Source organism: Homo sapiens, chromosome 5 (genome assembly GCF_000001405.40).
Source record: "Homo sapiens chromosome 5, GRCh38.p14 Primary Assembly".
Taxonomy (NCBI): domain Eukaryota; kingdom Metazoa; phylum Chordata; class Mammalia; order Primates; family Hominidae; genus Homo; species Homo sapiens.
In genome coordinates this window covers 120830960-120842253 of record NC_000005.10, presented here as the reverse complement: position 1 = coordinate 120842253, position 11294 = coordinate 120830960, and the positions used below count along the sequence as shown (strand labels likewise).

General features: G+C 38.9%; 1 annotated feature.

The window, feature by feature from the left end:
- Positions 10206-10500: an enhancer, noted in NCBI's record as "tiled region #293; K562 Activating non-DNase unmatched - State 24:Quies". NCBI's record gives its function as "activates a minimal TATA promoter and a strong SV40 promoter by Sharpr-MPRA in K562 cells {active_cell/tissue: K562}" and the evidence as "EXISTENCE:reporter gene assay evidence [ECO:0000049][PMID:27701403]".

Sequence of the window (11294 nt, the reverse complement as noted above, 5' to 3'; positions counted from 1 at the left end):
ACGCCCCACCTTACCAAAGTAAATGAAAAGTGTCATTAGCTCTGAATAGTTGTTAGTGGCTCCTAAAGAACTGACTATACAAATTCAACTTTTCATTAGTAACTGTGTGTGCAGTTTTACAACATCTAATAGGGCACTATGCTCTGCAGATCCAAGGACTAGGAGTGGCTGTTTCTGTAGCTGTATATTTTTCAAGGACTGTATTACTTAGAACAGAAGATGCTGCTACCAAATTCTCAGGTGGTGTCTTCTGGTTTCACAGTCTCATTAGTGGCTAGGGTGAAACTATACTTTACATCAGGATAAAATTGTCTATGTTTTCTTCCTTCAGTAAAAATAACTTCAGTCAGTAACACCTTTAGAATTGTATTCTTTTTATTTTAATTTTAAAGTGTTTTTCTAATGAAGGCAAGGATAATCCTGAAGGGTAAACATGACTGGAAAAAGCATGTGTTCTAAACCAAAAGAGGAATTAGAGAATGTTAAGCATTATAATAACTGTAACCAAATCTTATCTTTATGATTTTCTAAAGGAAGGTTTAGTTCTAAATTGAGTATTTAAGTATAGACAATAATAATACATTATCTTAATAAGATGCTATATTTCCCAAAAATGAAATTTGGTATTAAATGCCAATTCCTCCACTTGTGGTTTAGATTTTGTCTTATCTCCTTCTCAAAGACTTTCCTCAAACACATCTCTTTCTTGCATCAACAATTTCTCAATTATTTATAGAATATTACACCAGCTGAAAAACAAGCATTATTTTTTTCCTTGAAACAAAACCTCCACATCTTTTGAACTCCACATCATCTTTCTACTGCTGCCCCATTTCTTTCTGCCCAATTCATTGTAAACCATCTTGACAAACTTAGAATCACCTCATATGATCTTCTAAATCCACTATAATCAGCTTTTTATTCTCTTTCCAGCAGAGAAAAATGTTGTCATGGTAACAAAAAGTTTGCTCAGTGGTCACTACTCTTTCCTCATCTTATTTAGACACTTCAATTCCTTTAAGCATAGGTGAGCACCTCCCTTCCTAAAACCCTCCCATTTCTTGGTGTCTAGAACCCCACAAGCTTCTGATTGAGTGCCTACCTTGTAACTGCTTCATCTCAGTCTCCTTTGTGGGTTCCTTTTTCCTTCTGAGCCACAAAATGTCCTTGGCTCCGTTATCTTCCTTAAACATGCTTTCCCTCTTAGCAATATTTTGTGAGTCTATGGCTTTAAATATAACCTGTTTGCTATGGCTTCCACATCTATAACTTAAGATTCAAACTTGCCCTAAAACTTCAGACTTATATCCAACACACTTGATATTTGATTTATTAAATGTTATTCAATAAACATTTTAAAATTAACACAACCAAAACAGAACTCTTGATTCTCCACAGGACCCAACCCCCTAACCGGCTTCTATCTCAGACTAATTAGGGTTTATTTTATTATTATTTTTAAATAAACAACTCCATCTGGTTTCTTTTTCTGTTTTGAGACACGGTCTCACTCTGTTGCCCAGGATAAAGGCTGGAGTGTGGTGGTGCAGTCTCAGCTCACAACAGCCTCTACCTCCTCAGCCCAAGTGATCCTCCCACCTCAGCCTCCTGAGTAGCTAGGACCACAGGCACATACCACCACATCCAGCTAATTTTTGTATTTTTTGTAGAGATGGGTTTTTGCCATGTTGTCCAGGCTGGTCTCAAATTCCTGGGCTCAAGCAATCTGCCCAGCTCAGCCTCCCAAAGCACTGGGATTGCAGGTGTGAACCACTGCACCCGGTTTATCTGGTTTCTTAAGCCATACACTGGGAATTTTCCTTGATTTCTCTCTATCCATCAGATATTCTTGTTATTGGTGGCAGAGATTCAAGTTACTGGGAGCTGCCAGTTGTGTATCTGTATGGCTCCATAGCAACTTTAATTCTTGCCTCCTCAGATGAAAGAATTCCACTGAGGGGCATAAAGCAGAAAGAGACCAAGGCAAGTTTCAGAGCAGGAGTGGAAGTTTATTTTAAAAGGCTTTAGAATAGGAAAGAAAGGAAAATTCACGTGGAAGAGACCCAAGTGGGCGCCTGAAGGTCAAAGAGAGAGAGAAAGAGAGAGAGAAAAAAAGGACTTTTAACCTTGATCCTTGGAGTTTGTAGGCTCACCGCTTTCCCATGATTCTTCCCTTAGGGTGGGCTTCCCACATGCCCAGTGCTTTCTTTGCCCTTTGGAGTTGAGCAGCTGCAGTGTGTTTAGGGAGTAATAAACAGAGGCTTTCTTTCCTCTTCTGATGACATGTAGCTGGAGATCATACATTGCCATTTTTGTCTCTTAACACCCATGTCCAGGAAGTTGCTTCTCCCAGGGGCTGGCATTCAATTAATATTTTAAATGTTAACAGTAGGTTCCATCAGGAGATTGTCACTCCCTGGCTGCCAAATTATCTTTTTAGAGAGGCAATGCAATAATTGCCAGTCTATCACCCGACATTCCTAGTGGGTTGTGACAGGGAGCCCTCTCCTGCCCCACTCATGCCTATCTCTGCCTATATCATCCTCACCCTCATATATGCATATCTAAATCATCAACATATCATATGCAATTTGCTTCCTAGATAGATCCCACATCTGTCTTCTTGTCCTACATTTCCTCTATTATAACCATCATTACCTATTCAAATTATTCACAGTACCTTACCTAGCCTCCCTGCCTCAATTCTTGTCCCACCTCGATAGTGTTTGGTCCACTTGTTTTTCTACTTATGCAGTTAACATCACTGAAGTATGAGTTACATGCATGAAAAACCACCTATTTTAAGTTTACATTTGATGAGTTTATATACCCCCTCACACCAATCAAGCAATGAAATATTTCTATCACCCCCCCAAATTGTTCCTTTTGTCATTTGCATTTTACGCTTGCTTACCTATGGCCCAGAAAACAACTGATACACTCTCTGCTACTATAGATTAGTTTTACCTGTTCTGGAATTAGTTCTACATGAATTCATATTGTGTATGCTCTTTAATGTCTTTGGTAGCTCAGCATAATGTGAAATTCATCAATGTTTTATGTCTAAATAGTTTGTTCCATTTTATTGCCGAGTAGTATACCATTATTTGCATATATCACAGCTTGTTTATCCATTCATCTATTAAGGATCCTTGTTTTGTTTACAGCTTAATGCTATTATGAATAAAGATGCTATTAACATTTGCATGCAAATCTTTTTGAAGACATGTTTTCATTTCTCTAGGGTAGATAACTAATAGCAAAATTGCTGGAACTCATGCTGACAAACTCTTTCCCATGGTTATACTATTAAACACTCTTACTAGCAAGTATGAAGTTCTTTTTCCACATTCTCACCAATCCTTGCTATTTTCACTCTTTTCAACTGTTACCGTTCTCATGGATATGCAATGGTATCTCACTGGAAATTTTAACTGGCATTTCACTGATGACTAATGGTGTTGAGCATCTTTTTCTCTGCTTAGTAGAAAGGATATCTTATGTATGAATTTTAGTAACATAACATTTATGTTACGTTATGTTAAATGCAATGTTTGGTAACATTTTTTGCCCTTTACATATCATATATATCATATATAAAAAACATACATATGATATATATATAAAACATATATATGATATATATATGTTTTATATATATGATATATACAAAACATACATATGATTTATATATGTTTTGTATATATGATATATACATAAAACAAAAGGGTTATAAATACATATAAAAGGGTTTTATATATGTAAAAACAAAACATATATATAAGTATATATATATATATATATATATACACATACTTCTTAAGTCACACTCTGGGAATTTTCCTTGATTTCTCTCTATTCATCAAATATCCTCACTCTCAAAAGTACATATCAAAATAATCAACATATCATACACAATTTGCCTTCTATGTATATATAGAAGAATATCTACCATTTTGTAGTTTGCCTTTTCATTTCGAGTGTTTTAAAGAATAGAAATGTATAATTTTGATAAAATTTTAATTGACTTTTTTCTTGTATATTTAGTGAGTTTTGTATCATTTCACTAAGCTCTCTCTGCCCCAAAGTAACAAAGATTCTTTTATGTATTTTCTTTTTTTTATTATTATTATACTTTAAGTTTTAGGGTACATGTGCACAATGTGCAGGTTAGTTACATATGTATACATGTGATATGCTGGTGTGCTACACCCACTAACTCGTCATCTAGCATTAGGTATATCTCCCAATGCTATCCCTCCCCCCTCCCCCCACCCCACAAAAGCCCCCAGTGTGTGATGTTCCCCTTCCTGTGTCCATGTGTTCTCATTGTTCAATTCCCATCTCTGAGTGAGTATATGCGGTGTTTGGTTTTTTGTTCTTGCGATAGTTTACTGAGAATGATGATTTCCAATTTCATCCATGTCCCTACAAAAGACATGAACTCATCATTTTTTATGGCTGCATAGTATTCCATGGTGTATATGTGCCACATTTTCTTAATCCAGTCTATCATTGTTGGACATTTGGGTTGGTTCCAAGTCTTTGCTATAGTGAATAAGGCTGCAATAAACATACGTGTGCATGTGTCTTTATAGCAGCATGATTTATAGTCCTTTGGGCATATACCCAGTAATGGGATTGCTGGGTCAAATAGTATTTCTAGTTCTAGATCCCTGAGGAATCGCCACACTGACTTCCACAATGGTTGAACTAGTTTACAGTCCCACCAACAGTGTAAAAGTGTTCCTATTTGACCCAGCCATCCCATTACTGGGTATATACCCAAATGACTATAAATCATGCTGCTATAAAGACACATGCACACGTATGTTTATTGCGGCATTATTCACAATAGCAAAGACTTGGAACCAACCCAAATGTCCAACAATGATAGACTGGATTAAGAAAATGTGCCACATATACACCATGGAATACTATGCAGCCATAAAAAATGATGAGTTCATGTCCTTTGTAGGGACATGGATGAAATTGGAAATCATCATTCTCAGTAAACTATCGCAAGATCAAAAAACCAAACACCGCATATTCTCACTCATAGGTGGGAACTGAACAATGAGATCACATGGACACAGGAAGGGGAATATCACACTCTGGGGACTGTGGTGGGGTGGGGGGAGGGGGGAGGGATAGCATTGGGAGATATACCTAATGCTAGATGACGAGTTAGTGGGTGCAGCGCACCAGCATGGCACATGTATACATATGTAACTAACTTGCACAATGTGCACATGTACCCTAAAACTTAGAGTATAATAATAAAAAAAAAGTGTTCCTGTTTCTCCACATCCTCTCCAGCACCTGTTGTTTCCTGACTTTTTAATGATTGCCATTCTAACTGGTGTGAGATGGTATCTCATTGTGGTTTTGATTTGCATTTCTCTGATGGCCAGTGATGGTGAGCATTTTTTCATGTGTTTTTTGGCTGCATAAATGTCTTCTTTTGAGAAGTGGCTGTTCATGTTCTTCACCCACTTTTTGATGGGGTTGTTTGTTTTTTTCTTGTAAATTTGTTTGAGTTCATTGTAGATTCTGGATATTAGCCCATCTGATATTAGTCAGATGAGTAGGTTGTGAAAATTTTCTCCCATTTTGTAGGTTGCCTGTTCACTCTGATGGTAGTTTCTTTTGCTGTGCAGAAGCTCTTTAGTTTAATTAGATCCCATTTGTCAACTTTGGCTTTTGTTGCCATTGCTTTTGGTGTTTTAGACATGAAGTCCTTGCCCATGCCTATGTCCTGAATGGTAATGCCTAGGTTTTCTTGGAGGGTTTTTATGGTTTTAGGTCTAACGTTTAAGTCTTTAATCCATCTTGAATTAATTTTTGTATAAGGTGTAAGGAAGGGATCCACTTTCAGCTTTCTACATATGGGTAGCCAGTTTTCCCAGCACCATTTAGTAAATAGGGAATCCTTTCCCCATTGCTTGTTTTTCCCAGGTTTGTCAAAGATCAGATAGGTGTAGATATGTGGCATTATTTCTGAGGGCTCTGTTCTGTTCCATTGATCTATATCTCTGTTTTGGTACCAGTACCATGCTGTTTTGGTTACTGTAGTCTTGTAGTATAGTTTGAAGTCAGGTAGTGTGATGCCTCCAGCTTTGTTCTTTTGGCTTAGGATTGACTTGGCGATGTGGGCTCTTTTTTAGTTCCATATGAACTTTAAAGTAGTTTTTTCCAATTCTGTGAAGAAAGTCATTGGTAGCTTGAGGGGGATGGCATTGAATCTGTAAATTACCTTGGGCAGTATGGCCATTTTCACGATATTGATTCTTCCTACCCATGAGCATGGAATGTTCTTCAATTTGTTTGTATCCTCTTTTATTTCCTTGAGCAGTGGTTTGTAGTTCTCCTTGAAGAGGTCCTTCACATCCCTTGTAAATTGGATTCCTAGGTATTTTATTCTCTTTGAAGCAATTGTGAATGGGAGTTCACTCATGATTTGGCTCTCTGTTTGTCTGTTATTGGTGTATAAGAATGCTTGTGATTTCTGTACATTGATTTTGTATCCTGAGACTTTGCTGAAGTTGCTTATCAGCTTAAGGAGATTTTGGGCTGAAACAACGGGGTTTTCTAGATATACAATCATGTCGTCTGCAAACAGGGACAATTTGACTTCCTCTTTTCCTAATTGAATACCCTTTATTTCCTTCTCTTGTCTAATTGCCCTGGCCAGAACTTCCAACACTATGTTGCATAGGAGTGGTGAGAGAGGGCATCCCTGTCTTGTGCCAGTTTTCAAAGGGAATGCTTCCAGTTTTTGCCCATTCAGTATGATATTGGCTGTGGGTTTGTCATAGATAGCTCTTATTATTTTGAGATATGTCTCATCAATATCTAATTTATTGAGAGTTTTTAGCATGAAGGGCTGTTGAATTTTGTCAAAGGCCTTTTCTGCATCTTTTGAGATAATCGTGTGGTTTTTGTCTTTGGTTCTGTTTATGTGTTGGATTACATTTATTGATTTGCGTATATTGAACCAGCCTTGCATCCCAGGGATGAAGCCCACTTGATCATGGTGGATAAGCTTTTTGAGGTGCTGCTGGATTCGGTTTGCCTGTATTTTATTGAGGATTTTTGCATCAATGTTCATCAAGGATATTGGTCTAAAATTCTCTTTTTTGGTTGTGTCTCTGCCAGGCTTTGGTATCAGGATGATGCTGGCCTCATAAAATGAGTTAGGGAGGATTCCCTCTTTTTCTATTGATTGGAATAGTTTCAGAAGGAATGGTACCAGCTCCTCCTTGTACCTCTGGTAGAATTCGGCTGTGAATCCATCTGGTCCTGGACTCTTTTTGGTTGGTAAGCTATTGATTATTGACACAATTTCAGCTCCTGTTATTGGTCTATTCAGAGATTCAACTTCTTCCTGGTTTAGTCTTGGGAGAGTGTATGTGTTGATGAATTTATCCATTTCTTCTAGATTTTCTAGTTTATTTGCATAGAGGTGTTTGTAGTATTCTCTGATGGTAGTTTGTATTTCTGTGGGATCAGTGGTGATATCCCCTTTGTCATTTTTTATTGCATGTATTTGATTCTTCTCTCTCTTTTTCTTTATTAGTCTTGCTAGCGGTCTATCTATTTTGTTGATCCTTTCAAAAAACCAGCTCCTGGATTCATTAATTTTTTGAAGGGTTTTTTGTGTCTCTATTTCCTTCAGTTCTGCTCTGATTTTAGTTATTTCTTGCCTTCTGCTAGCTTTTGAATGTGTTTCTCTTGCTTTTCTAGTTCTTTTAATTGTGATGTTAGGGTGTCAATTTTGGATTTTTCCTGCTTTCTCTTGTGGGCATTTAGTGCTATAAATTTCCCTCTACACACTGCTTTGAATGTGTCCCAGAGATTCTGGTATGTTGTGTCTTTGTTCTTGTTGGTTTCAAAGAACATCTTTATTTCTGCCTTCATTTCGTTATGTACCCAGTAGTCATTCAGGAGCAGATTGTTCAGTTTCCATGTAGTTGAGTGGTTTTGAGTGAGTTTCTTAATCCTGAGTTCTAGTTTGATTGCACTGTGGTCTGAGAGACCGTTTGTTATAATCTCTGTTCTTTTACATTTGCTGAGGAGAGCTTTACTTCCAACTATGTGGTCAATTTTTGAATAGGTGTGGTGTGGTGCTGAAAAAAATGTATATTCTGTTGATTTGGGGTGGAGAGTTCTGTAGATGTCTATTAGGTCCACTTGGTGCAGAGCTGAGTTCAATTCCTGGGTATCCTTGTTGATTTTCTGTCTCGTTGATCTGTCTAATGTTGACAGTGGGGTGTTAAAGTCTCCCTTTATTAATGTGTGGGAGTCTAAGTCTCTTTGTAGGTCACTCAGGACTTGCTTTATGAATCTGGGTGCTCCTGTATTGGGTGCATATATATTTAGGATAGTTAGCTCTTCTTGTTGAATTGATCCCTTTACCATTATGTAATGGCCTTCTTTTGTCTCTTTTGATCTTTGCTGGTTTAAAGTCTGTTTTATCAGAGACTAAGATTGCAACCCCTGCCTTTTTTTGTTTTCCATTTGCTTGGTAGATCTTCCTCCATCCTTTTATTTTGAGCCTATGTGTGTCTCTGCACGTGAGATGGGTTTCCTGAATACAACACACTGATGGGTCTTGACTCTTTATCCAATTTGCCAGCCTGTGTCTTTTAATTGGAGCATTTAGTCCATTTACATTTAAAGTTAATATTATTATATGTGTATTTGAAGCTGTCATTATGATGTTAGCTGGTTATTTTGCTCGTTAGTTGATGGAGTTTCTTCCTAGTCTCCATGGTCTTTACATTTTGGCATGATTTTGCAGCAGCTGGTACTGGTTGTTCCTTTCCATGTTTAGTGCTTCCTTCAGGAGCTCTTTTAGGGCAGGTCTGGTGGTGACAAAATCTCTCAGCATTTTCTTGTCTGTAAAGTATTTTATTTCTCCTTCACTTATGAAGCTTAGTTTGGCTGGATATGAAATTCTGGGTTGAAAATTCTTTTCTTTAAGAATGTTGAATATTGGCCCCCACTCTCTTCTGGCTTGTAGAGTTTCTGCTGAGAGACCAGCTGTTAGTCTGATGGGCTTCCCTTTGTGGGTAACATGACCTTTCTCTCTGGCTGCCCTTAACATTTTTTCCTTCATTTCAACTTTGGTGAATCTGACAATTATGTGTCTTGGAGTTGCTCTTCTCGAGGAGTATCTTTGTGGTGTTCTCTGTATTTCCTGAATCTGAATGTTGGCCTGCTTTGCTAGATTGGGGAAGTTCTCCTGGATAATATCCTGCAGAGTGTTTTCCAACTTGGTTCCATTCTCCCCGTCACTTTCAGGTACACCAATCAGACGTAGATTTGGTCTTTTCACATAGTCCCATATTTCTTGGAGGCTTTGCTCATTTCTTTTTATTCTTTTTTCTCTAAACTTCCCTTCTCGCTTCATTTCATTCATTTCATCTTCCATCGCTGATACCCTTTCTTCCAGTTGATTGCATCGGCTCCTGAGGCTTCTGCATTCTTGATGTAGTTCTCGTGTCTTGGCTTTCAGCTCCATCCGCTCCTTTAAGCACTTCTCTGTATTGGTTATTCTAGTTATACATTCTTCTAAATTTTTTTCAAAGTTTTTAACTTCTTTGCCTTTGGTTTGAATTTCCTCCTGTAGCTCGTAGTTTGATCATCTGAGGCCTTCTTCTCTCAACTCGTCAAAGTCATTCTCTGTCCAGCTTTGTTCCATTGCTGGTGAGGAACTGCGTTCCTTTGGAGGAGGAGAGGTGCTCTGCTTTTTAGAGTTTCCAGTTTTTCTGCTCTGTTTTTTCCCCATCTTTGTGGTTTTATCTACTTTTGGTCTTTGATGATGGTGATGTACAGATGGGTTTTTGGTGTGCATGTCCTTTCTGTTTGTTAGTTTTCCTTCCAACAGACAGGACCCTCAGCTGCAGGTCTGTTGGAGTTTGCTCGAGGTCCACTCCAGACCCTGTTTGCCTGGGTATCAGCAGTGGTGTCTGCAGAACAGTGGTTTCTCGTGAACCGCGAATGCTGCTGTCTGATCATTCCTCTGGAAGTTTTGTCTCAGAGGAGTACCCGGCCTTGTGAGGTGTCAGTCTGCCCCTGCTGGGGGGTGCCTCCCAATTAGGCTGCTCAGGGGTCAGGGGTCAGGGACCCACTTGAGGAGGCAGTCTGCCCGTTCTCAGATCTCCAGCTGCGTGCTGGGAGAACCACTGCTCTCTTCAAAGCTGTCAGACGGGGACATTTAAGTCTGCAGAGGTTACTGTTGTCTTTTTGTTTGTCTGTGCCCTGCCCCCAGAGGTAGAGCCTACGGAGGCAGGCAGGCCTCCTTGAGCTGTGGTGGGCTGCACCCAGTTGGAGCTTTCCGGCTGCTTTGTTTACCTAAGCAACCCTAGGCAGTGGAGGGCGCCCCTCCCCCAACCTCGCTGCCGCCTTGCAGTTTGATCTCAGACTACTGTGCTAGCAATCAGCAAGACTCCATGGGCGTAGGACCCTCCTAGCCACGTGCGGGATATAGTCTCCTAGTGCGCTGTTTTTTAAGAGTGTCGGAAAAGCGCAGTATTCAGGTGGGAATGACACGATTTTCCAGGTGCTGTCTGTCACCCCTTTCTTTGCCTAGGAAGGGGAACTCCCTGACCCCTTGCGCTTCCCGAGTGAGGCAGTACCTCGCCCTGCTTCAGCTCGCACATGGTGTGCTGCACCCACTGACCTGCGCCCACTGTCTGGCACTCCCTACTGAGATGAACCCGGTACCTCAGATGGAAATGTAGAAATCACCCGTCTTCTGCGTCGCTCACGTGGGAGCTGTAGACCAGAGCTGTTCCTATTCGGCCATCTTGGCTCTTCCCCCTCTTTTATGTATTTTCTTTAAATTTTAGTTTAAATTACTCTTTTACTATACTTTAAATAACTGCAGGACCTTTCATTCTGTCACTGTCAAATTGTGTTTCTTTTTTCCTCTCTCTCTTTCTTTCTGTCTCTCTCATCAATCTAGCTGGGGGTTTAACAATGTATTTTAATATTTTCAAAGAACTAACTTTTGGTTTGATCTACCTTTTATATTATTTGTCCATTTTCTAATTTATTTATCTTTAGCCTTATCTTTAGTGTTCCTTTCCTTTTGCTCTTTTGGGATTTGTTTATTCTTTTTCTAGTTTCTTTGGGTCCATGCATAGATCTTTGACTTGAAACAATTATTCTTTTCTAATATAAGTATTTGTTGCTAAAAATTTCCTCTTATGTACTATTTTCAGTACATCCAACAAAGTTCAATGTGTAATGCTTTTCTTTACTTTCAGTTCAAAATACATTTAAAT